The sequence below is a fragment of the Homo sapiens genome, chromosome 15, assembly GCF_000001405.40.
Source record: "Homo sapiens chromosome 15, GRCh38.p14 Primary Assembly".
Lineage (NCBI taxonomy): Eukaryota > Metazoa > Chordata > Mammalia > Primates > Hominidae > Homo > Homo sapiens.
The window spans coordinates 74,995,105-75,022,079 of record NC_000015.10 but is presented as its reverse complement, the minus strand read 5'-3'; the positions used below and the strand labels follow the sequence as shown (position 1 = coordinate 75,022,079).

The following is a 26,975-nucleotide window of genomic DNA, read 5'->3' as shown; positions in this document are numbered from 1 at the left end:
CCTTAGCCGCAGTGGACCATCTGGGCCAAACCATCCCTTACGCAGGGATCCAGCCGTGTCTTTTTTTTTTGAGATGGAGTCTTGCTGTGTCGCCCAGGCTGGAGTGCAGTGGTGCGATCTCGGCTCACTGCAAGCTCCGCCTCCTGTGTTCACGCCATTCTCCCGCCTCAGCCTCCCGAGTAGCTGGGACTACAGGTGCCTGCCACCTCGCCCGCCTAATTTTTTGTATTTTTAGTAGAGATGGGGTTTCACCGTGTTAGCCAGGATGGTCTCGATCTCCTGACCTCGTGATCCACCCGCCTCAGCCTCCCAAAGTGCTAGGATTACAGGTGTGAGCCACCACGCCCGGCCGATCCAGCCTGCTTCTTCTACTTCCTCCTCCCAAGGCAGGGGGCCTAGGTGGCAATTTCATCACCTACTGAAGGCTGCCTCAGAGAAGGAGCCACACAGGGTCGTATAGCTCTAGGTCTCGGGGAATGACAGACCACAGATCCACCCACCCCCCATACTTTCATGCCCCTGCCCCACAGCCCGCTGTGAGGCTCCACGCAAGTCCACAGGAAGACACATGACACAGCAGAACACACAGGGCCAAATGTTCCCCTTTATTATGGTTCACTCAGTTACCAAAGACAGACACATTGGCTCAGGCAGCTCAACTGCCAGCTGGGGAACATCCAGCTCCAGAAACAGGGAGCAGCAGCGGCACCAGGAGAATGGCAAAGCAGGTCACTGGGACCCCAGAACTGACCTGGGCCCTCCTTCACCCGACCCCAGGCCAGACCTTCCTACAAAGATGAATGTGTGCCCTGCCCCCACTTCTCATACTGGTTCTCTCCCCGGGAAAGTGCATAGTTGCCTGGAGATGCAGCATCCCAGGGCCTGAACAAGCTGGGCCACACACCGGGATCAGGCTTCCCAAGGGTAGAGCCAGAGCATGGCCATATAGGTCCAAGCCAAAGAGGCAGGTAGGACAGGAAACTGATTGGAGGTAACATCCAACAGGTCATGGATGCTAGGCAGGGAGCTGGATCACAGGCCTCCTGGAGCTACCAGAGAGAGAAGGGAAAGGGAGCCAAAGTTCTGGGGTAGGGGAGAGGAAGGGAAAGGGAAGAAGGGCCTAGACCTAGGTACCTTTTCAGGTACCAGGGACTGTGACCATTGCTCCCAAGAGAGAAAATGGGAGAGGGGAGAGGCAATTATATTTTGTGCCCAAACCTAAAGGACCATCAGGAAGAGAATTTCCAGAGGCCCCTGGCTCAGGATGGCCTGTAAGCCTAGGTATTGGGTTCCAAGCTGAAGCCAGGCCAGAGTAGCCAAGTGGGGTTTGGATTTTTGTCCAAACAGCTCAGGCAAGCTTCTGGTGGGAGAAGGGAAGGTGGGAAATGGGCAGATGCTCTTTGGGCGAGAACCCACTCCCCTTCAGGCCCCGCACACAGCTAGAGCCTCTACCAGCCATGTTCTCACACTGCTTGGAACAGAACAGCCCCACGGGCCTAAAACCACTCTCCTGAAAGTGGTAGGGAGTTCCGACTGGGTGAGGACAAGCCAAGACCAAGGCCTGTAGGCAGAAGGGAGCAAGTTACCTTGATTTGGAAAACAAAACAAAACTAAAGCCAGAGAGCCTCCCCTCCCACCCTGCCTAACCTGAAATCCCATTCAGGCTATTGTGCTTGCAGCCAGGACTGGGCCTGTGCTTCTGCTTGGGCCCTGAGTTCAAGTGCCCAGAACCGCCCTGTGACCAAGAGCAAGCCAGGGTGGGGGAAGGCATGCTCCCCTCTCACTGGGCCCTGCCTGCCTTCTCCTCTGACCTTCCCTCCGTGCCTAGCCCTCTGAGCCCTGTCCTACCAGATCCAAACAGAACAGCTACTGCTTCCAGGAATCCAACGGTCACCGAGAGATACCTAAATGCCTCACTGTGCTGGAGCCAGCCAGACCTTCCCCAGGGACCAATCATTACTGACATGCCCTCTGCTCCAGCTGTGCCTTTACATCTGACAACTGCCCAGCATGTCCCAGCTCCTCAGGGAAGGCAGTAAGGCAGATGCCACCTGGCACATGGTGGGGTCAGGGTAGCAGAATCAAGCCACAGCAACTGGGGGCATGGGGAGGAGGCAGAGGGACATAGGCAGAGGGGCTCAAGGGGGCTCTGGGGAGAGAAGGAGGAGAAGGCAGGGGAGAGAAAAGATGAGCCTGCCCCTGCAGATCAAACTCTCAGGCCCAAGCAGACTCATCCTTGCATTTTCATCCCCTGGGGGTCAGGTACCCAGGTGGGCTCTGCACCCCCAGCTGTGTGCCCCTCCTACATCAGGGGTAAGGCCCAGCTCCCCATCAGCTTCCTTGAACTGTAAATCAGATTAGATTTGGGGATCTGGGCTCAGTCTCAGGAGCAGATAAAACTGGGACACTCAGCCTTGGGGAAGACAAAGAAAAGCCACATAGGAAAGAGATAGACAGACCATGGGCAAGGGAAGATTGCACAGGGAATGTGACATCAGGGAACAGATGAGGGAGGAGGAGGCTGAAGGAGGCGAGGCCTGGAGGGATCAAAAGAGCAAGGGAATATCCCTGGCCTGTACCCACCCTCCCACCCACCACCAAGAGTGCTAAGTACTGTTACTTCCCAGGAAGACTGAAAGTAGAAACAGTTCCAGCTCATAACCCTAGGAAGGGGCCAGTCTTTCTGCTATGCCTCCCCTGGCCCCGTGAGGGGTCCCTGGGCCAGGGTCAGAGGGGCCAGAGGCAAGAGGGGCAGGTGGAGGGTGGGGGTGGGGGCTGGTTTAGCTCTAAACACACATCTAGCACCACAAGAGACCTCCACTGCACACTATTTCACGAGGGGACACAGACACAGCTACTACCGCACGGGACAGCTCCACGTGCAGCCCACAGCTGAGTGCCAAGAGCAGAATCTGAAAGGTGGGGGCTGGGGTACAGACATATACATATATATATATATATAACTCTGGTCCTTTGTACAAAGTAGGGAAGGAGAAAAGGGAAGGGGGAACCCTGCTTGGTAACCACAAATGACGATGTGGCTTGAGCCCCCTGTCCCAATGGCCCCAGCTCTGCCACCTGGTAGGCGTGGCTGGTTCACATCTCATTGGAGTACGTGTAATTGGGGGTGGCGGAATACTGAGTCTGAGGCTGATTCATGGCACCCTGGGCTGCCCCCATGGCTGCGTTCTGGGCTGCCTGCTGCACATGTGGATTCTTCCAGGCCCCTGTGGTCCACTCCTCCTGAGCTTTGCTGAAACTCCCCCCACTTCCCCGGTAAAATTTATGAACCTGTAGGAAAAAGAGCGTAAAGAAGGGTTAATCAAAGAGAAAAGGCAGCCCATCCAGGAAATAGATGGGACCCATCTGTAAAAAAAAAACAGTGCTCCCTCCCCATGAATGCCTCTGTAGGAGAGTCCTGCAGGCCATTCCAGAGTGAGTCCCTTGGAAGACCTCGGGATCCTCTTGCAACTTGGAGGAGGGCTTGTTTCAGAACATGGCCCCTTCCCAAAGCCACCTTCTCACCCTTGAGGGGACCACGTACCATGCTGAGGGCGATGAAGGAAAAGACGGCCATCACTGTGAACATGACAGTGGGAATTAGCATCACCACCGCCGAGCCAATGTTCGTTCCGAAGAAGGAGATGGTAGCAATCCAGCCGCTGCAGGAAGAGGCCAGTGTGGGGCTGCGGGCAGGATAAGAGGTGCCCAGGAGCCCCCCGCTAGAGGAAGGGACCGTCTCATTGCCACAGGGAGGAAACATATCACTGGATGCAGAGGGACCATCTTACTGATACCCAAAGAACCTGTGCCAGTGGCTCAAGAAGACCCCATCCCTGTGGCTCAGAGGTGCTCTTCAGATACAACACTTTCTTCCCCCAGGTTTTCCTATAATCCCTGACACCCCTCAGCCCCCAAGAAACCACTGCCAGGTTCTCCTTCCCTCTGATGCTATGGTTGTACTACTACACTATCCCGAATCCTCTCACTCTCCCAACAACCCATCACTCAGGCCCCATAGGCTAGACAGCTTAGCACACAAAGGTAAGCAAAAGATACACCCACAACGCCACCCCTGCCAGCCCCAGGCCACACCCCTGCCTCTTACCAGACGCCCCAGCCTGGGATGCCCACGGCCTGGATGATGCTGATGACCAACTGAGCCATGAAGGTAAAGAAGAATGCCATGAAACTGAAGGAGCTGTCAGTCCTGCGGCAGAGGAGGTGGCTCCCGTCACCTGGGCAGAGGGCCAGGGCTTCCCTGCCTTCAAGGCCCCCAAGCCCTTCCAAGTTTAAGTGCATAATGGACAGAAGACATTTAAAGGCCTTAATTGAGAGGTCAGAAGGGGTTAGTTCTACCCATACATCTTTGCAAGTTTCCACGTGGTAGACCTGTGTGTTGCAACATTACACAGGGAGGGATTTCCCATGAACAGACCACCCACTGGTACATGGATGGACGGCCTCATTGGCATAGAAATAGATGGCTCCACTGAGGCAGGAATAAATAGTCTCATTGTCAAGGGGATGGACAATGACACCAAGACAGCTAGCTCCACTGGTACATGGATGGATGGTCTCATAGGCTCAGAGATAGAAAGTCTCATTGGAACTAGAATGGACACCCTATTGGCACCAAAACAGTAGCTAATTGGCACTTAGATGGATGGCCTGATTGGCACAAAGAGATTTAAGGCCCCATTAGCATTGAGATGGATATTCTACTGGCACCAAGACAGATAGCCTTGGTACATTGATGAATAGTCACATTGGCACAAAGATTGAAAATGCCATTTGGCACTAGGTAGACACCCACTGGCACCAAGACAGCAAGCCCCACTGATATGTGGATGGGTGTTCCCTTTGGCACACAGTTGGATGACCTCATTGCACATGAACAGTGTCAATGGTACATGGCTGGCTGGTCCCATTGGCACATGGATAGATGGTGTCCTTGGCACCAAGTCGGCTAGCCCCACAGGTACTAGGATGGGCAGCTCCACCAAGACAGGCAGCCCCACAGGCAAAATTTAACATGCAGCTGCCTGAGGAAGGGGATGACAGAAGAAAAAATAGGCCTGGTCTGTCTATATTTCCCCCACCCAAGGGTAGAGTGAGGAGGAAAGAAACTAACTCTCAGCCCTCTCACCTCAACTTGGCACCCCCAGAAAGCCCAGGCCCTACCTAGCAATCTGAGCCAAAGGTGAGCAAGGGAAAGTGAGTTTGGGGGAGGGTAAAAAAAAAAAAAAAGAAGTGAGAAAAGATATGGAGAAGAGACAGGGGAGATGGGCAGAGACGGCTAGGCACTGCGGATAGCACCAACCACTTACTTGAAGGCCTTGTAAATGGGCCGAAACCAGCAGACGTAGGAGCAGGGTGTGAAGAGGATGAGCCAGAGAAAGGCGAGGCCAAAGTTGGTGGCTCCCCCGCCTCCGATCAGCCACGCGAGACAGCCCACCAGGTTCACGGCCAGCGTGACGCTGTTCACTGCAGGCCCAGGAGCACATGCACACATAGAGACAGACACCCAGGCCCATAGAGAGACACATGAGCACCCGGACATGGGCACACACACACCAGTAACGCAACAGAGACCCACAATCAAGCCAGGCCAACAGCGCAGACAAGCACAGAGAGATGCAGACACATTCACAGATTCACACCCACACAAAAGACCCACAACCCGTACCAACAAATACATACAGAGACACAGGAGACACACATACACACGCAGAGGAGTAAAGACTGTAAGAACGCAAGCTGGGAGCTCGAACCAACCCCCACCCCTCAACCCCAGCACCCACTCCTGAGAAATCTGGAGAGCACAGCCTCCAGAACCCAGAGCTTCTGCCCAGCAAGCCCCTTTGAAGGGCCCCAAAGCCTCAGGGTGGTAGAAATGCTCTTGTCCTTGTCAAGAATGGCTTCAGCCCCTGACCCTCCCAGACTCACAGCAATCACCAAGCCCAAGACATGGGAAACCGACCTTACACTTTCTCTTTCGAGATATGGGCATGGAAAGGGAAAAATAAAAGGCCTTGTGGAAACATCTCTTCTAGCCATTGTGCCATCTACCTTGCACTTAAATGGGGCAGGCATTGGCGGCTGGAATCTCAGTCTTTATCTAATCTATTTCTTTTTTTTTTTTTTTTTTTTTGAGATGGAATTTCACTCTGTCGCCCAGGCTGGAGTGCAGTGGCGCGATCTCAGCTCACTGCAACCTCCACTTCTCAGGTTCAAGCGATTCTCCTGCTTCAGCCTCCTGAGTAGCTGGGATTACAGGTGCCTGCCATCACGCCCAGCTAATTTTTGTATTTTTAGCAGAGATGGTTTTTCGCCAAGTTGGCCAGGCTGGTCTCGAACTCCTGACCTCAGGTGATCCACCCGCCTTGGCCTCCCACAGTGCCGGATTATAGGTGTGAGTCACAGTGCCCAGCTATCTAATCTATTTCTTAGATAACACTCATGCCAGCTCCTTGAAGAAGTCTTCCTTTGCTACTGCAACCTCATCATCTCCCATCCCTCTGACCTTCTACAGACCTGGGCTGCTCTCAAGGTTCCCCAGATATAAATCCCAGCCCATCAACCAGACTAAAAGTTCCCCAAGAACAGGACCCAGGCCCCCCCCCCTCTGTCCCCACCTCATCTAGCTGAACTAGGAGGCACAGTGTCACTGAGTCACGGCCAGCAGGGACCTCAAAGATTTACAGATAAAAGTGATGCTGGTACTAACACACATGCGGGTCTGTGCAGCACATCATTATCTAACATCAGGGCACTCCCTTCCTTGAAAACAAAGCTAAGTCCACAAAGACCTGCTGAATAAACAAAGGAAGGAGGGCTCAACCGTGGCCTCAAACAGCCAGGCATCTGTGGTCCTGTCTTCTGAATAGAACCCTTAAGCACCTCAAGGGTTATATACATTTCCTTGGGAGTAAAGCACCTGCGGGTGCCTAGTGAGGACTTAAGGAGATATTTATAGCCCTTAAATCCAGCTTCTGGATGAGATGTTCCCAGAAGTTGAGTTCCCAGAGCCCAGGTCAGACACAGTGACCTACAAGCCTGGCCTGACCACCGTGTCACCCATCTCAGGGCCCCTCATGGGTGGGCATTTCTTCCTGTACATTTCAGCTGTATTTCCTCTATCCCTGTTCATTGCCCCAAAATCTCCTGGAGGCTTGGTGTTAAAACTGATTTTATTTGCTCTTTATATAGAAAAGACACTAACCTATTATATTGGTTCACATCTCTCCCCAGTCCAACCTGCCCCAGCTCCCTTGCTCAAACACCTCTGCTGCAATTATTCTGCTTCCTCTCTGGAATGGATACCCATGAGCTCAGCCCCTCTCTCTCTCTAGCCATCAGCTTCTTTCTGTCTTCACTCTTCTCCTTATCCAGCTTAGATTCCATAATTCATTACTCATTTTCTTATTCCCTCCCCTGCCCTGCCTTCTGGCCACACTCACCCTAGATGAACATAATTCTCATCTGTACCTGAGCTGAATGTTGCTAAGAAAAAAGGGGACCCCATGAGGAAGACTGTAAATTCACATCAGCCAATGTCAAATGAACCTTGTGTGTGGCCCAGAAATCTTAGGGGCCGGGTTTCTTTGGAGAGTGTCCTCACTATCCGTCGACAAACATGGCCTCGTTGTGAGCCCACTCTCCACACTACATCATATTTGATGGAAAAAATGGAAGCCATCAGAGGTAACTTCTTCATTTGCTTCCCAACATCTACAGACTTACCCACACCTGTCCCATCCCCCCTTCTCTCAGGTTACATGGTGGGAGATCCCTTCTTCACTCAAAGGCCAAGCCAGGCCTTGAAACTGAGTCTGTCTGCCCCATCCTCTTCCTACCATGCCATGAGGGACCTGCTGCAAAGACAGTATATTTTACCACCTTGTCGGCACATGCAAGCATCTGCCCAGGTAGGCAGCTAAGTGCAGGCCTCACTCAGGGCAGTGTCACATATAGCAGAACCCAACTGCAGTTACATTGCGGGTATCTTGGGATCCTGGGGCTCACACCCAGCACAGGATAGCCAGCTTGCCTCCCCCTCACATGCCTAAGAGGTACCTTCTAACTAGCCTCAGCACAGCCAAGTCCCATCCCCCCAAGAAGACACCTTTCCCACCCCCTGCTACAGATCACCAGAAATGAGGCCTTTACACTCTCAGCCTTAAAACCTTAGAACATTGATGCTAAGGTTTTCTAAATAAAGAATTCTAGATTATTTAATTATTTTTTTAGAGGCAGGCTCTTACTCTGTCACCCAGGGTGGAGTGCAGTAGCATGATCATAGCTCACTGCAGCCTTGAACTCCTGGGCTCAAGTGATCCTCCCACCTTAGTCCCCTGAGTAGCTAGGACTACAGGCATGTGCCACTATTCCCAGCTAGTTTTTTTAAAGAGATGGGGTATTGCTATGTTGCCCATACTGGTCTCAAACTCCTAGGCTCATTGGATCCTCCTGCCTTGGCCTCCTGAATAGCTGGGACTACAAGTGTGAGCCACCACACAGGCCTAATTTTTTTATTTTCTGTAGAGACAGGGGTCTTGCTGTGTTGCCTAGGCTGGTCTTAAACTCCTTACCTCAAGTGATCCTCCTGGCTCAGCCTCCCAAAGTGCCGGGATCACAGGTGTGAACCACTGTGCCTGACATTAGACTCTTACAGGTATAGACCACCCAACACAGAGCTGCATGGAACCACAGCAATCGCCAAGCCAATACTTTCTTCCTACAAATGAGGAACCTGCTGCTTGGCAAGCACAGTGACCAGGCAAACTTGATCCCACAGCTCCCAACTCCCAGCTGAATCCTCCTCTCTTTGAGCAATCTTCCAGAGAAAGCAAGACAAATAAGGCTTTGAGGGAAGGATTCCTCTCCAAATCCAGAATCCTGAGGTCCTGACAGTCCCCAGAGGTTCCCTGGAAAGTTACTCCAGTGGAAGGGAAAGGGGAAGCAAGAAGACAGGGATTACACTGCAGAGAGGGACCCCTGTCCAGATGCTCTGTGAAAGGAGGGTGGAGGGGAAGGAAGGGAAGAGAGGCCTAGATGGGGGAGGTTGAGGGAAACTGAGGCCCAGTCGGGGAGGTGGCCCATGGAAGAAGCCTCTGGGAGCCTGGCAGGGGAAGACTTATGGTCCATGCATATGCCACAAGTGGGACTGAAGGACAGTCAGGCCTGTGGGCACCCCACCCCGCTGCCCAGCACGCCCAGTCTTCCTGCCTCCTCCAGCCACCCTGGCCCACCCCCATCCCATGGCACTCACACATCCAGAGGTAGTAGAGGCGCTTGGTCATGCTGACATGCTGGGGAGGAATATCTGCCTCGAAGTCTTGGTAGAAACATGGCTTCAGCGGGATGAATTTGGGCAATGGTGGGAAGTTGTTCACTTTCTCTGTGGATGAGACACATTGCACAACATCACCTCCAGTCTTCCACCCGACAATCCAAGACGCCCATCCTTCCCCTGGCTGTGCTGCCCCATTGGCCCCTGTGGCCACCGGCCACTCTGCTTTCCCCACCCAGCCGTCCCTACCTCCCCGGGTCAGCTGTGATGATCCCAAAGTAGCCAAAGGCCCTGAGACAGTGTCACTCAGAATAAAAAACAATGTCACCTTGACAGACAGCATTTATTATTTTTTAATTCTGAGTGACACTGTCTCAGGGCCTCAAGGTACCACCCTCTCAGTGGGGGCAGCTCCAGGCAGAAGAAGCGGATGTGTGAGAATCTACAGACGTGGGTTCCAGCCTCCACTCAGCATTTGTGCTCTGGGGCAAATCATCGCCCCTCTCTAGACCTCAGTTTATTTGCTGGAGTGGGGGCTGGGCTACACGGTCCCTAAAGTTCCCTCCAGCTCTGGCATTCTACACCTCTGAGCCTTCTGAACCAGATAAAAAAGGCCTCAGAGTATTAGAAAGCAATAGAGACAGAGGGGAGGAGGGCTGAGCCACTCATGCAGCTAATCAGGCAGATGGACAGTAAGACAAGGACATCAAGGTGCTCAATTCCTGGTCCATAGGACCAAAGATCTGACAGAGGGCTAGACAATGTCATGTTGAAGTTCTCAGACAGGCCTCAGTGGAGAGAGTGGGGAAAGCTTGGGGACAGTAAGATGGAAAGAACCTGGCCTCCAAAGACTAGGGGAGATAAGGGAACCAGGAAGAGGGCCATCCACGCTATGCTCACTGTCATGTCCTACCCACACAGCCTGCCCCTCTCCTTACCTGCCATGATGTTACCAGCTGGCCCAGTGGCCTGCCCACACCTCTTTGTCCTGAACTGCAAGGAAAGAAAAGCCAGAGAAGGATGAGATCAGGGCCACACCCAACCCAGTCCCTCTCTACTCCTCATCTGGGCTGCAAGCTCCCCAGGACAGGACCCAGCACATACTCCCACAGTGCCGTGAATGCAATGGAGGCAGCTCCCCTCCTCCCAGAGCCACCCTTCCACCAGCTGCATCTTACCAGCTGCTCCCGCCCTCTGCTTCAAGGCACAAAATCTACTCTCTGAAAACCCCATCCAAGGGTAGGAAAGGAACCTGGGAGGGGATCCCATACAGGGAAAGCCAAGTGACATTCTATTCCTTGACCTTGAATTACAGACTGAGCCTCGGCCTTGGTCACAGGCTAGCCTCCCTTTGCTCCTTTTGCCTTTGTTCATTTATTAGGACACTTATATGGTGCTGGAAGAATGAGTGAGACAGATGTGGTCCCTGCTCTCCCCATGAAACAGTCAATCACCTCTGCAGTAAATCATACAAAAGGCAAGCACAGCCACCGTGAAAACATACACATCATGTCCTGGTGATCTAATCTGGTCTGGAGAGGCAGGGAAATTAAATTTTTTTAATTAAAAAACTTTTTTTGAGACAGGGTCTCTCTCTGTTGCCCAGGCTGGAGTGCAGTGGTATAATCCCAGCTCACGGCAGCCTCAGCCTCCCCAGGCTCAGGTGATCCTCCAAGCGCAGCCTCCTGAGTAGCTGGAACTACAGGCATGCACCACCAGGCCCAGCTAATTTTTATATTTTTTTGTAGAGATTAAGTTTCGCCATATCGCCCAGGCTAATTTGAATTCCTAGGCTCAAGCAATCCACCTGCTTCAGCCTCCCAAAGTGGTAGGATTACAGGCATGAGCCACTGCACCCAGCCTCAGGGAAATTAAATACAAGTGGTAGTAAAAACCTGAAGCATGAAGAGGAGTTCCCCGGGCAAAACAGCCTTCTAGGCAGATGGGAAAGCATCGTACAGGGACAGTTCCTTACTAGGAAGGAGCTTCACATTTTTTTTTTTCTTAGACAGGGTCTCACTCTGTCACCCAGGCTGGAGTAAAGTGGCACTCCTGGGCTCAAGCCATCCTCCTGCCTCAGCCTCTTGAGTAGCTAGACTACAGGGACAGACTACCATGCTAATTTTTTAATATTTTGTAGAGAGGAGGTCTTGCTGTGTTGCACAGCTGGTCTCAAATTCCTGGCCTCAAGCAATCTTCCCGCTTTGGACTCCCAAAGCACTGGGATTATAGGCATGAGCCACCCATCATAAGGGAAAGAAAGCCACTATGGCCAAAGCAGAGTGCAAATGAGGGGGCAGCAGATGAGGCTGGAAAGGCAAGGTGGGCAGGATGTGCTTCCTGAGACCCTTAGGAGACAAGTTTGAAGGGGTCTTGGTTTTAAGGAGTAGGGGAAAGGGAGCAATTGGAAGACTCCCTGCCCACTTAACCCCGAGTGGATGGTGGAGACCCATCATGACAAGCCTGTGTGAGATGAGGCGGAGGTTCCAGGGGAGGACGAGCAGCTGTGCTAGGGACATACAGGGTAGAGACGCTGGGGGACACCTGGACAGGGCGTCTTATAGGAATCTGGAGGGTACAAACATGCTCTGCTCCTGGGAGTTCAGCAGGAGGCCTGGCTGACCCATGCTAAGTAATCACTGGCAAGTTAAGGCCAAGGAAACCAAGCAGCAATCACCTTGTTAGAACAGTGACTTTGGTGGACATTTATATAGTCAACAGCAGAAAATGGTCCACAACCAAGTGCTAAGGCAATGCAACATTTAAAAGCTGGGCAGAAATTTGCTTAAAGTTTTGGAACAGGAAAAACTAAATCTATGGTGTTAGAAGTCAAGATAGTATTACCCTTGATGGGGCAGCGACTGGGGGCCCGGCATCTGTTCTTGGTCGGGGTTCTGGATACACAAAGGTATGGATTTTGTGAACATTCTCCAAGCATACAGTTACAACTTGTGCAATCTCCTGTGTGTTAGACTTCCATGAGAAGTTTGCTTTAAAATAAAAACTTCAGGCTGGGCATAGTGGCTCACACCTGTAATCCCAGCATTTTGGGAGTCCGAGGCAGGAGGATCACTTGAGCCCAGTAGTTCAAGACCAGTCTGGCCAACACAGTGAGACTCCATCTCTACAAAAAATAAAAAATTAGGCAGGCACGATGGTGCGTGCCTGTAGTCCCAGTTCCTCAGGAGGCTGAAGTGGGAGGATTGCTTGAGTCCAGGAGGTAGAGGCTGCAGTGAGCCATGATTGCACCACTGCACTCCAGCCTGGGCAACAGAGCAAGACTGTCTCAAAGGAAAAAAAGCACACACACACACACACACACACACACACACACACACACACAAACTTCTAGCATTCCAGTCAAATTCTTCTGGACCTGATTAAAAGATCGGGCAATTACAATCTTCGGACTCTTTTGTGATATGGGATCAAATACAGATACAAAAACCCAGTAACATCTACCACAAAAAGAGAAGAGAAGGGTATGATAGAGACAATCAGGAAATGATACCCATACACAGGTGCATTAATTGCGGCACTGTTTTGAATAACAAAGGATTAGAAACCATCAATAGGGGACTGATTAAACCAATGGTAGTCATACAATGGACTGTTCCGCAGCTATTTTTAAAAATGCTTTGCAGCTGTTAAAAATTTTAAAAAGAGGAAGCAGTTCTCTGGGTACTGATATGCAAAAGTCTCCAAAAAGATGAGTAGTTAAAAAAAGCAAGATGTACAACAGTCTGTATGTTATACTTTTCATATTAAAAAAAAGGAAGAGAAGATAATAAGAATATATTTTCCTTTTAACCTAATAATCCTGCTCCTGTTAGTCATTTACCCAGATATAAGAAATGACAAACACACACGTTATTCGACATGACACTATTTGCATTAGCAAAATGCTTAAAGCAACCTAAATGTGACTATTTGAATATACGAGGTGCATCATACAATAGAGTATTACACAGATGTAAAAAAGATGCCAGCCATGGTGACTCACACCTGTAATCCCAGCACTTTCAGAGGCGAAGGCAGGAGGATCACTTGAGGTCAGGAGTTTGAGACCAGCCTGGCCAACATGGTGAAACCCCATCTCTACCAAAAAAATACAAAAATTAGCCAGGCATGATGGCATAAGCCTGTAATCCCAACTACTCAGGAGGCTGAGGTGGGAGAATCGCTTGAACCCAGGAGGCGGAGGTTGCAGTGAGCCAAGATTTCGCTGCTGCACTCCAGCCTGGGTGACAGAGTGAAACCATGTCTCAAAAAAAAAAAAAAAAGAATAAAGATGAGCTCAGTAAACTGCTGTGGAATGCTTTCCAGGATATATTAAGTAAAAAAAAAAAAGCAGAGCACAAAAAGTGTAAATCATATGCTACCCCTTATGTAAGAAAGGGGAAGTAAGAATGCACATATGAATTTGCTTATTTTTGCAAAAGAAACACAGGAAGAATCAACCAGAAAGTAATGAAATAGTCACCTACATAACGGAAGGGCTACGATGAGTAGAGAGACTTCCATTCTTTATATACTTATTAATAAGTTTTTTTAATATACTTGTACACATAAAATGACTTCCATATTTCAAAAACTTAAACCAAAAAGAAAAGCAAACTCTAAAACTGAAACAAAAACAAATCAAGCTAACTATACTTTAAATTGATAACAATCTCACAGACAAGAAAAAAAAAAGAGCCCAAGTAACTTTTGATCACAGTAATTCTGGGTTCTCCTATGTTCTCCTAGAAAGATAAACCTCAAGGGCAAAAATAACTGCAAACAGGCCGGGTGCAGTGGTTCATGACTGGAATTCCAGCACTTTGAGACACCAAGGCAGATGGATCGCTTGGGCCCAGGAGTTCGAGACCAGCCTGGGTAACACAGCAAGACCCCCGTCTCTACAAAAAATACAAACATGGCCAGGCATGGTAGCTCACGCCTGTAATCCCAGCACTTTGGGAAGCCGAGGCGGGTAGATCACCAGGTCAAGAGATCAAGACCATCCTGGCCAATATGGTGAAACCCTGTTCTCTACTAAAAATACAAAAATTACCTGGGCGTGGTGGCATGTGCCTGTAGTTCCAGCTACTCGGGAGGTTGAAGCAGGAGAATTGATTGAACCTGGGAGGCAGAGGTTGCAGTGAGCCGAGATCGTGCCACTGCCCTCCAGCCCGGCGACAGAGCAAGACTCCGTCTCAAAAAAACAAAAACAAAACAAAAAAAAACATTAGCGGGACATGGTGATGTGCGCCTGTAGTCCCAGCTTCTCATGAGGCTGAGGTGGGAGGATCACTTGAGCTCAGGAAGTCGAGGCTGCAATGAAGTGTGATTGCGCCACTGCACTCCAGCCCGGGCGGCAGAGCAAGACCCTGTCTCAAAAAAAGAAAAAGAAACTGCAAACAAGTCATGAATTTTAGCAAGTTTACTCTTACTGCTGGTACTGCTGTGACGACTCTAAAGCTTTGCCCGTATACTACAGGAGAGGGCAAATGAATCAGTGTGCTGATTATTTGGGGAAGGTGGTTTCTCACTGTAGGAGATACAATTCAGACCGCGGAAAGGTAAGAAAGAGCCTTGTGGTGTTGGATTCAAAGCGGAGGTATCAGTATGAACACAGAATTTTAAAAATATATATGGCTGGTCCCAAGCCAGGAAAAGGAAATACAAGGTTAGCCTGGAACATCTTGTGGTATCATAAAGAAGAAAGTACTCAATAACTAATGGAGGCAAGTCAAAAGGACACAAGAACCAGTCTGAAAGGGCTACCACCAACCAAATTTGGGACAATTAGACTATCAAAAGTAATAACCACGTGGATTTTTTTCTCTCTTTTTTTTCTTGAGACAGAGTCGCGCTCTGTTGCCCAGGCTGGAGTGCAGCAGCATGATCTCAGCTCACTGCAACCTCCGCCTCCTGGGTTCAAGTGATTCTTTTGCTTCAGCCTCCCGAGTAGCTGGGATTACAGGCACCCGCCACCACACCCAGCTAATTGTTTTTTTTTTTTTTTGAGATGGAGTCTCGCTCTGTCACCCAGGCCAGAGTGCAGCGGCGTGATCTCGGCTCACTGCAAGCTCTGCCTCTCTCCTGCCTCAGCCTCCCCAGTAGCTGGGACTACAGGTGCCCGCCACCACACCTGGCGAATTTTTTTGTATTTTTTTAGTAGAAACGGGGTTTCACCGTGTTAGCCAGGATAGTCTCGATCTCTTGACCTCGTGATCCACCTGCCTTGGCCTCCCAAAGTGCTGGGATTACAGGCATGAGCCACAGTGCCCGGCCAATTGTTGTATTTTTAGTAGAGACAGGGTTTCACCATGTTGGCCAGGCTAGTCTTGAACTCCTGGCCTCAAGCCATCCACCCACCTCAGCCTCCCAAAGTGCTGGGATTACAGGTATGAGCCACAGTGCCCGGCCCACATAGATTTTTTTTATTATTAATCCATGAGTCCAAAGTGACATTATTATTTTATTTTTTAAAAGAGAGGGAGGGCCTGGCTCAGTGGCTCACATCTGTAATCCTAGCACTTTGGGAGGCCGAGGCAGGAGGATCACAAGGTCAGGAGTTCGAGACCAGCCTGGCCAACACAGTGAAACCCTGTCTATACTAAAAATACAAAAAATTAACTGGGTGTGGTGGCGGGCGCCTGTAATCCCAGCTACTCCAGAGGCTGGGGCAGGAGAATAGCTTGAACCCGGGAGGCGGAGGTTTCAGTGAGCCGAGAGCACGCCACTCTACTCCAGCCCGGGTGACAGAGCTAGACTCCATCTCAAAAAAACAAAGCAAAAAAAAAAAAAAAAAAAAAGGGAGGCCGAGGCGGATCACTTGAGGTCAGGAGTTCCAGACCAGCCTGGCCAACATGGTGAAACCTTGTCTCCACCAAAAAATACAAAAAATAACCAGGCATGGTAGCACGTGCTTGTAGTCCCAACTACTCGGGAGGCTGAGGCAGGAGAATTGCTTGAACCCGGGAGGCGGAGGTTGCAGTAAGACGAGATCGCGCCACTGCACTCCAGCCTGGGCGACAGAGTGAGACTCCGTCTCAAAAAAAGAAAGAAAGAAAGAACATCATGTGCCTCCTGCTATGCTGTGCACAGAAGGACTCAAGGTCATGTATGAATACTGTTGCCAAAAAAAGGTTTAATCTGAAAATAATTATGAAAAAACAATCCGACAAATTCAGATTGTGGGAAATTCTACGAGACAAATGTTAATGTCATGAAAGACAGAAATTGGCAGGGGGAATTTATCTAAATTAATGGAGACAAAAGAGGCATGCAACCAAATGCAATGGGGAAGCCTGGCAGAATTTTTTTTTTTTTTTTTGAAACGGAGTTTCGCTCTTATTGCCTAGGATGGAGTGCAATGGTGCAATCGTGGCTCGCCGCAACCTCCGCCTCCCAAGTTCAAGCGATTCTCCTGCCTCAGCCTGGAGTAGCTGGGATTACAGGCATGCACCACCACGCCCAGCTAATTTTGTAGTTTTAGTAGAGATGGCGTTTCTCCATGTTGGTCAGGCTGGTCTCAAACTCCCGACCTCAGGTGATCTGCCTGCATTGGCCTCCCAAAGTGCTGGGATTACAGGCCCGGATCTTGGATTTTTTTTTTTTTGAGACAAGAGCCTCACTCTGTCACCCAGGCTGGAGTGCAGTGGCACGATCTCGGCTCACTGCAAGCTCTGCCTCCCAGATTTAAGCGATTCTCCTGCCTCAGCCTCCCAAGTAGCTGGGACTACAGGCGCACGCCACCACACCCAGCTAATTTTTGTATTTTTAGTAGAGACTGGGTTTCACCATGTTGGGCAGGATGGTCTCCATCTCTTGACTTCGTGATCCGCCCAACTCCGCCTTCCAAAGTACTGGGATTACAGGCGTGAGCCACCGCGCCCAACCAGGTCCTGGATTTTAAAATCACAGCTATAAAGGACATTTTTAGGACAACTAGAGAAACTTGAATATAGGCTGCATAGTAGATACTACTATTCACTATTAAATTTCTTGGGTATTGTATGTGTGCATGTTTTTGTTTCTTTCTCTCTTTCTTTTTTTTTTTTTGAGACAGGGTCTCACTCTGTCACCCAGGCTGGAGGAGTGCAGCAGCACAATCACAGCTCACTGCAGTCTCAACCTCCCAGGCTCAAGAGATCCTCCAGTCTCAGTCTCCTGAGTAGCTGGGACTACAGGTGTGTGCCATCATGCCCAGCTAATTTTTGTATTTTTTGCAGAGAGAAGGTTTCGCCATGTTGCCTAGGCTGATCTTGAAGTTCTGGGCTTAAGAGATCCACCCGCCTTGGCCTCCCAAAGTGCTGGGATTACAGGCGTGAGCCACCATGCCGGCCTGTAGAACACCTTTGTTCTTAGAAGACACACGCTGGTCTTTAGAAGCAGTGTCTGGTCTGTAACGTCCTTTCAAACGGTTCTGCGAAAAAATTTTATACATATACATAAAGCAGAAACAAGCATGGTGGTGTGTGCCTGTAGTCTCAGCTACATGAGGAGCTAAGGCAAGATGATCACTTGTGCCCAGGTGTTCGAGCCTTCAGTGAGCAATAACGCAAGATCCTGTCTCTAAAAAGTAAAAATAGGCCAGACGTGGTGGCTCACGCCTGTAATACCAGCACTTTGGGAGACCGAGGCGGGCGGATCACCTGAGGTCGGGAGTTCAAGACCAGCCTGACCAACATGGAGAAACCCTGTCTCTATTAAAAATACAAAATTAGCCGGGCATGGTGGTGCATGCCTGTAATCCCAGCTACTCAGGAGGCTGACGCAGGAGAATCGCTTGAACCCCGGAAGCGGAGGTTGCGGTGAGCGGAGATCACGCCATTGCTCTGCAGCCTGGGCAACAAGAGCGAAACTCCATCTCAAAAAAAAAAAAAGTAAAAATAAAAGATAAAGCAAATGTTGCAAAATGTTAATAATTGATGGGAGAAGGGTATACAGTTGTTCACTGCATTATTTTATTTATTTATTTATTTTAGATAGGGTCTCACTTTGTCACCCAGGCTGGAGTGCAGCGGTGCAATCATAGCTCACTGCAGCCTCGAACTCCTGGGCTCAAGCAATCCTCCCACCTCAGCTTCCCAAGTAGCTGGGAATACAGGTGTGCGCCACCATGCCCAGCTAATTTTTTTATTTTTTGTAGAGACGAGGTCTCGCTACATTGCCCAAGCTGTTCTCAAACCCCTGGGCTCAAGCGATCTACCCGCCCTGGCTTCCCAACGTGCTGAGATTACAGGCATGAGGTCACTGTGCCCAGCCCATTGCCCTATTCTTTAAACTTTTTTGTAGCTTTGAAATTTTTCAAAATAAAAAGTGGGGGGAAATATACATATCTGTATTTGACAATATATGCACAAAGAATCTCTGGAAGGATATCAAGAAAAAAATATGGTAATTGTGGCTCTCTGGGGAACAAAGGAACTGAATGGATATAGAGTAGGTGGGAAGCAGAATATTTACTATATAACTTTATACCATTTCCATATAATTGATGACATCATCAGTTTTAAGACAGACCATTATTTTATTGACCAAAAGTAAGAAAAAACATTGCCAATTTGCAGGCTGGGCACCATGGCTCACGCCTGTAATCCCAGCACTTTGAGAGGCCGAGATGGACGGATCACTTGAGGTCAGGAGTTCGAGACCAGCCTGGCCAACACAGTGAAACTCTGTCTCTACTAAAAATAAGCCGGGTGTGACGGCGTGCGCCTGTAATCCCAGCTACACAGGAGGCTGAGGCAGGAGAATCGCTTGAGCCCAGGAGGCAGAGGTTGCAGTGAGCTGAGATCGTGCCACACTGCACTCTAGCCTGAGTGACAGAGCCAGACTCAATCTCCAAAAAATAAAAATAAAAATGCCAATTTGTAACTGTAAGATGCCAGAAATTTTAAAACACAGACATGAAAATGTTTTCAGAAATATCAAAATGTTCATCTTAGAACTGACAAAATTTGGAACATCTTTGTGAACTGTAAATCATATATAAATGCACTACCTATTCAAAAAAATAAAAAGTCAAGAAAGTTAAGCAGAAAAAAAAAAGGCAAGCAGAATAGGATAGTTGGGGAAGAATGAGAAGGAGCAGCTGATGAGACACGAGGAAAGCCCAGAGAGCGTGGAGTCTCCATAGCCAGGGGCAGAGATTGGACAAATGTGATAATGCCACTGAGGGCTCCCATGTGAAAGGATGGCACTACCGGGACTAACGCGTTCATGACACTAACAGCATCGAGTCAGCTGTGAATCCAGCAAGAATCGTTTTGGTGGTGACAGCAGTGATAAAGAAGCCTGGCTGACAATATACAGAGAGAATAGAGATAGGGTACCACCTGGGTAGGATATGGGGGTAGGGAGAGGGCCCAGGGAGGGCTGCAGCTGGGGGTCATTTTAGGTGGAAATAAGCCAGAGATGTGTAGGATACATAGAAAGGTTGCAATTACAGTAGAGACAGATGTTACCTGATAGACAAAGCCCGTGAAGAGGGAGACACAGGGGCACCAGTGCAAGGAGGTGGACAAGCCTTGATCCTAACAGGTGGGAAGCCGAACAGGATCCAAGCAGATGCAGGCAGGTTTGAGGTCTTAGATGGGCAGTGAGAGCATCTTGGATGTCTGCTTCAATTTTCTGTTTTATTATTTTATTTTCACAGGCATTCAATTTTGTTTTATTTTTTATTTGAGACAGGGTCTCACTCTATTGCCCAGCCTGGAGTGCGGTGGTGCAATCACAGCTCACTGCAGCCTCAACCTCCTACACTCAATCCATCCTTCCACCTCAGCCACCCAAGTAGCTGGGACTACAGATGCGTGCCACCATGCCTAGCTAATTTTTTGTTTTGTTTATTGGTAGAGATGGGGTTTCACCATGTTGCCCAGGTTAGTCTCTTTTTTTTTTTTTTTTTTTTTTTTTTTTTGAGACCGAGTCTTGCCCTGTTGCCCAGGCTGGAGTGCAATGGCATGATCTCAGCTCACTGCAACCTCCGCCTCCTGGGTTCAAGCGATTCTCCTGCCTCAGCATCCCGAGTAGCTGGAATTACAGGCACGTGCCATCGCACCTGGCAAATTTTTTGTATCTTTAATAGAGACGGGGTTTCACCACGTTGGCCAGGCTGGTGTCCAACTCCTGACCTCGTGATCCACCCACCTCAACCTCCCAAAGTGCTGGGATTACAGCCATGAGCCAGGGTGCCTGGCCGCCTAGGTTTGTCTTGAACTCCTGGACTCAAGAGATCCACCCGCCTCAGCCTCCCAAAGTGCTGGGATTACAGATATGAGCCACTGCACCTAGCCCAATTTTCTCTGTGATAGAGGAGACAAGATGAAGGTGAGAGGGAGGAGATAAGCGTACAGGACCCAGCTAAATCAAGGAGCAATTCTGACACAGCCTGAGCACTCTGGGAGAGCAGACTCAGAAAGCTGTGGTAACACAGAACACCTCCCTGGTCTGTCTTACAGGAGTCAAGGATGGCTTCATAGATATTGGATCTGAATCTTTTTTTTTTTTTTTTTTTTTTGGAGTCTCGCTGTGTCGCCCAGGCTGGAGTGCAGTGACGCGATCTCGGCTCACTTGCAAGCTCCGCCTCCCGGGTTCACGCCATTCTCCCGCCTCAGCCTCCCGAGTAGCTGGGACTACAGACACCCGCCACCACCCCCGGCTAATTTTGTTTTTGTACTTTTAGTAGAGACGGGGTTTCACCGTGTTAGCCAGGATGGTCTCGGCTAGTATCGATCTCCTGACCTCGTGATCCGCCCGCCTCAGCCTCCCAAAGTGCTGGGATTACAGGCGTGAGCCACCGCGCCCGGCCTGGAGCTGAATTTTTAACAAGGAATAGGGAGTTGGCCAGGGAAAGAGAATCAGGAAAGCAGGTGTGAAAGTCAGAAGAGCAATAGCACGGCATACTTAAGGAACGAAAGAGGCAGAGGAAGGATGAATCTCAAAGTGAAGGGAGCAAAGGAAAGGCAAAATGGAGTTGAAAGGTAAATGGGGCTAGGTCATCCTGGCCTTGAAGACCATGGGCAGTATTTGGACTTTGTCCTCAGTGTCACGGGAGCCACTGAAGGATTTTATTCTTCTTCTCTTCAAAAAAAAAAAAAAAAAAAGGCTGGGTGCGATGGCTCACGCCTGTAATCCTAGCACTCTGGGAGGCCGAGGTGGGCGGATCACGAGGTCAGGAAATTGAGACCATCCTGGCTAACACGGTGAAACCTCGTCTCTACTTAAAAAATACAAAAAATTAGCCAGGCTTGGTGGCGGGCCCGTAGTCCCAGCTACTCGGGATGCTGAGGCAGGAGAATGGCATGAACCCAGGAGGCAGAGCTTGCAGTGAGCCGAGATTGTGCCACTGCACTCCAGCCTGGGGGACAGAACAAGACTCCCTCTCAAAAAAAAAAATGGCCTTAAAGGTTTTTTAAATATGCCTAGCCCGGTGGCATGTGCCTGTAGTCCCAGCTACTCAGGAGGCTGAGGTGGGAGGATTGTGAGCCCAGGAGTTGGATGCTACAATGAGCTATGATTGCACCTGTGAATAGTCACTGCACTACAGCCTGGACAACATAGTGAGACCTCATCTCTAAACTAATTAGTTAATTAATATGTTGCTTTTTAGCTATCTGTAAAAATATATGCAATTAAAAAAAAAATCTAAGTGCATAAAGTAGAAAAGTCTTCCCAAAATCCACTTTCTCAGATGCCACCCCTTTAACAGTCTGATCTTTAGGTTTGGTGGATTTTGTTGGCTTTCATTTTTAACGTATATAGAATCATATATGACAAAAATGAGATCATTCCACACATCCTGTTTTATAACCTGTTTTTTTCCACTCAACAATATCTCGTGAAAGTTTTTCATGTTAATGAATACAGATCTATCTCAATCTTTTTAATGACTGGTCGACTGGGTCAACAATATCCATGGCCATGAAGCAGTCAGGTGACAAGTTGATATGGCAATCAGGAAGTGTTTTATTTTATTTATTTATTTTTGAGACAGCGTCTCTCTCTGTCAGCAGGCTGGAGTGCAGTGGCGCGATCTCGGCCCACTGCAACCTCCGTCTCCTGGGTTCAAGCAATTCCCCTGCCTCAGCCTCCCGAGTAGCTGGGACTACAGGTGCGCACCACCATGCCTGGCTAACTTTTGTGTTTTTTTATTTTTGTTTTTGTTTGGTTTGTTTTTGTTTTTGTTTTTGTTTTGAGATGGAGTCTCGCTCTGTCGCCCAGGCTGGAGGGCAGTGGTGCGATCTCGGCTCACTGCAAGCTCCGCCTCGGGAAAACATGGGGGTGGTTCCACCTCCCCCACACACACCCCAACCACCCTCTACATGAGCAAAGGGCCTGGGGAGAGTAGTCCAGTTTGGAATACTCCTCCCATGGAATAGAAAGGGGAACTGATGGGAATGAGGAGAGGGGTTTCTATAAGTGATGAAGGGATGGCTGAGACTGGAGACCCTTCCTGGCAGCTCGGGTGACACACAGGCAAAGTGGCAAAGTGGTTGAGGGCATGGAGTTCAGAAAGAACACGGAAGAGGCAATTCATGAGATGGAGAAAATGGAGGTGTCTGAGAACTAGAGGTCTCCTTGAGGTCAGAGCACATAAAGCATTAGTTAGACTGTGGTCAGAGAGAAATACTAGAGTTTAAGATTTCAGAGGTGGCCACATGCCAATGAGGACCACATTCAGATGTAGTTGGTTAAAATGGTGACTGAAAGAGGCACTACCTCCCCTGAGACAATGGGACATGGAGTGGGAGACTGTGGTCCAGCACTAAAGACCTCCAGGAAAACAAGGAAGCAGAGGGAGAGGAGAAAACAACTAGAACATAGGGGCCTCAAAGGAGGAGTCTTCTCCCTAACCGGGCTCCAGCCTAACCCCTGTCCCTGGTCCCAGACAATCTCCCAAAAGTCTGCTTACAGTTCCAGAGAAGTCAGTGCAGCAAAGTATGAATAATTCAGAGCAGAAACCAGAGCAGAGGGCAAAGCTGCCTTGTTTGTATATAAAGGTTAGGGCAGAGAGAATCTGGGGCTTGAGAGGGTGGTAAAAGACTAGGGTCACAGAAATGGAAGGCTCCAGGCTTCTCTGCCCTTGTTTCTGGGAAGCCTTTGAAATGGGGGGTGGGGGGTTGGAGGGGAAGACAGCAATCACTGGCCTCTGCAAACCAAAGTTCTTTTTTTTTTTTTTTTTGAGATGGAGTTTCACTCTGTTGCCCAGGCTGGAGTGCAGTGGCACGATCTCAGCTAACTACAACCTCCTCCACCCAAGTTCGAACTATTCTCCTGCCTCAGCTTCCCTAGTAACTGGGATTACAGGCGTGCACCACCATGCCTGGCTAATTTTTGTATTTTTACTAGAGACACGGTTTCACCATGTTGGCCAGGCTGGTCTCGAACTCCTGACCTCAGGTGATCCACCCGCCTCGGCCTCCCCAAGTGCTGGGATTACAGGCATGAGCCACCGCGCCGGCCAAACCAAAGTTCTTAGACTACAAAACAGAAGAATTAGCAATCTGCTCAACTGATAATCTTTTATAATGGGGATAAGGGCTACATATCCCTCCAAAGATGTAGGCCTAGGGAAACACCTTAATTATCAATAAGATAGCAGTTACTACCTGAATTTTGTTCATGAAACCCTAACTATAATGTATTCCATTCCTTATTGTGAAGCTAGGACAGAAGCCCCCACAGTGGGGAGACTGAGGCCTCTGGCAGCAGACGAGGGTCAAGCCTGGCTTCAGATCAGGCCAGAGTCCTGGGGCTAACTCCAGGGCTCCCTGCTCACCAGTATGGGCCCCTCATCCCTGGCACAGAAATGGTGATTCCTTTTTGCTGCCCAGAGCCAACCTGCTAAGATGGAAGTTTCCCCCTCCTGCTCTACCTCCAATCCCCTCATCCCACTCCTAGCCCCATCTTCTGCCCTGAAATCCCAGAACTATGAATAATCCTCAGAAAACAGCAGTCTCCTGGCCATGCTGTCCCTGTCCTACTGATGACTATTCAGTAGCCTCCTACAGATCTTTGCCTGGCATTCAAGGCTTTGTGCCAGTCAGCTACAAACCTCCCTCCCACCACCTTTGGCTGCTCACAGGTTGACCTGCCTCCTACACTCCCAGCCTCATGCAGGAGATCATCTCTAGCCGCCCCCTCTGCTTCCAGTGCCCCTAAATTGGCAGCACTATCAGCTCCTCTAAGTCCTGCTACCTTCTCACATCCCACCCCTTCTGGGAAGCCTTTCCAAAAATCGCTGCTCTGCATCCCGCTGCATACATTTTGAGTCAGTCATTGGGCACTAAGTGTTCACGTCTTCTCCCATAATCTCCTCACTCCCTCCTGGATGGAGTTTCCAGGAGGGACCCAGCACAGAGCACAGTCAATCCATATACTTGCTTAAGACTTGGACACTTTCCCAATGGGTGGGAGGGAGGCAATTAACGCCCTCCCCCAATCAGATTAAGCCCAAAGCTGCTGTCAAACCTGCTGTATCACACTTCCTCCAGGAAACCTTCCGAAACTCCTGGCTGGCAGCAGGGAAGGAAGTGCAGCCTGTAAAGGAAATGCTGTGGGGGGCAAGGGGTGGGGATAGGGACAGGGAGGCAGAGGGATAGGGGAGGAAAGGAAAAGGAAGAGGGAGAAGAAAGGGGGGATGCTCTAAACTAGAACAAGGAGCATCCTCAAGGGAGGTCACTACTTAGTCCTATTATTTCATCTCTAGAGAAAGGTGCTAGAAAGAGATGCCCAGAGAGGGGAGGTGACTTGGGGAACTTGCTTGGAGGTGGCCACTCAGGAAACGGTTAAAGAAACAGCCACAGAGCCCAAGGTCTCTCTCTAGAACTCCCCTCCTGGGACCCCACTAACTCTCCAAGGGGTTTGCTAAACCTAAGACCCTCTTTCAGGGGCCCATTCACCAGAGACAGCCCCCTCTCAGCTCTAGAGACTTTGCCCTAAGGCTCACCAAGCCCAGAACAAACCTAAGTTAGCAAGACCTGTGTAGCCCCAAACAAAATCTCTCTGCCAATCATGCCCCTGCAAGAACCATCTCCCTCTTTCAGAGCCCTGCTCCGTGAGGCAGAACATGTAGGGGACAGGTTGCAAATTTCTCCAGACTCCACCACCCCATGGGCAGTCACATGGCTGAGCTCCCAGGCTCAGCCCCCAACAGCTGTGCTCGTTTTCATCCCTGTGCCTTTGCCCATACATTCTCCTGGAATGCCCTCTCTTGCCTCTCCTCCCACCCAAATCCCATCACCTCTGGAAGTCTCCTATTCGCTAGCTGTCGCCTCCCTTTCTCTCTGTGTCCCTGGGAAAGTCTGCCAGGCCCTCACTGATCTCCCCATCGGGAAGCTGGGACATTACTTGTTTAAGCCGCCTGTGACAGTGAATGCTCAGTCCGAGTCTCTACTTGGTTCCCCCAACCCACAGACCAGGAGCTCCCCGAGGCGGAGGACAAGGATCGGTTCACAAACACCTCACCTCCATCCTCGTGACCTCCGGCCAGCGTTGAAATGAGCCAAATCCGGCGCCCCCAACTCACCACCCAAAGCCCTGATGGAGCCCGCCTGGTGGCCTGGGCCAGCGCGCCCGTCGCCTCGCAACCCTGGGGCGGCTGAGGTCCGCCATCCAAAGGTCGGCCGCCCGAGGGAGGTGAGGGAAGTCAACCCGGGTCCACCTGCAGGCGCTAGTTGGAAGGAAAGGCCCAAAGGAAGCCACGGGCACCCCCTTCCAGTCGCCCCCATCCCCGGCTGCGCACGCCATCTCCAGAAGGCCGGTTTCCAGGGAACGCCAGGTGGGGCTGGCGGGGGGGATGGAGGGCCCAAAGCTCAGGCTCCAGATCCAGGGTCTGACGTCACCCAAAGGCCCAGTTCCCTCTGCGGGAGCCACAGATGGGAATGGGGGGGCTTGGGGGGCTCGGGGGGCCTGGGTGCGCCCTGAGCGCTCTCCCCCAGCCCCAAACAGTAAAGGTCACCTCCACTCCCACCTCTCCAGCAGTTCGGCCTTCTTCCTGCATCCAAAGGTGAAGTGTAGGAGGAACAAAGCTGCAGCCAGCGACCCCCACACCTCTCGCCCCGCGCCCAGCTTCCCTTCAAAGCTCTCCTCCCAGCCTTCATGCCCAGACTCACCTGCCGCGGCCGTTCGGCTGCCGAAAGGCCGCAGCGCTGCGCTGAGCTGCGCTGCACCCGAGCGATGCGGCGCGGAGCCGGCCGCGAGCCGCTCCGGGGCTGGGGGCGGGGAGCGCGCGCGCGCGCGCGCGCGCCCGAGGCCGTCTCTGCGCGCGCCCGCGCCGCCACTGCCTGCAGCAGTCACTCTCGCGAGACTTCCGCTCTGCTCCTAAGGCTGCTCCTCCTGAGCTCGCGAGAAGGACGACCCGGCCGCCCCGGCATCTTCCAGGAGCTGTCCGAGGTGCTAGTTCCCGGGCCCCGGCCGGATCAGGTGGTTGACGGGCACCTCAGGGACAAGAGCCTGGCGTGTAGGTGGAAGGAAGAGACCCAGAGATGGGAGCCTGGCACCAGCAGCCAGAGCCTCAGCTTCCATATCTGTAAACTGGGGAGAATAACCTCCTATACCTATGCCAGGAGCCTCTGGGACGTGCCAGAAAGGAGTGAGAAAGAGCTGAAAGCAGGAGAGTGTGGTGACTGCGGAAGGTCCTTCAGATCTGCAGGCGCAGGGGGAAAGAGAGAACAGAGGACGG

The 26,975-nt window shown here is 50.6% G+C and overlaps 1 protein-coding gene across 8 annotated transcripts; it reads right to left on the bottom strand.

Moving 5' to 3' along the window:
- Positions 1-584: 584 nt before the first annotated feature.
- SCAMP5 (secretory carrier membrane protein 5) lies at positions 585-26,517 on the bottom strand. Of its 8 annotated transcripts, XM_047432218.1 has the most exons (9): positions 26,407-26,517; positions 14,352-14,419; positions 12,140-12,189; positions 10,234-10,288; positions 9,275-9,403; positions 5,331-5,487; positions 4,109-4,210; positions 3,545-3,662; positions 585-3,291 (listed from the first exon to the last, which is right to left on the bottom strand). In XM_047432218.1, the coding sequence occupies exons 2-9, from the start codon at positions 14,365-14,367 to the stop codon at positions 3,097-3,099; spliced, it is 822 nt and encodes a 273-aa protein (XP_047288174.1). In that variant the 5' UTR covers positions 14,368-14,419; positions 26,407-26,517; the 3' UTR covers positions 585-3,096. The 8 variants fall into 8 exon arrangements, 7 of the variants coding, with proteins under 7 accessions (XP_047288174.1, NP_001171582.1, XP_006720484.1 ...); NM_001178111.2 differs by lacking the exons at positions 12,140-12,189; positions 14,352-14,419 and adding an exon at positions 24,764-24,846; XM_006720421.2 differs by lacking the exon at positions 12,140-12,189.
- Between the last annotated feature and the right edge of the window lie 458 nt (positions 26,518-26,975).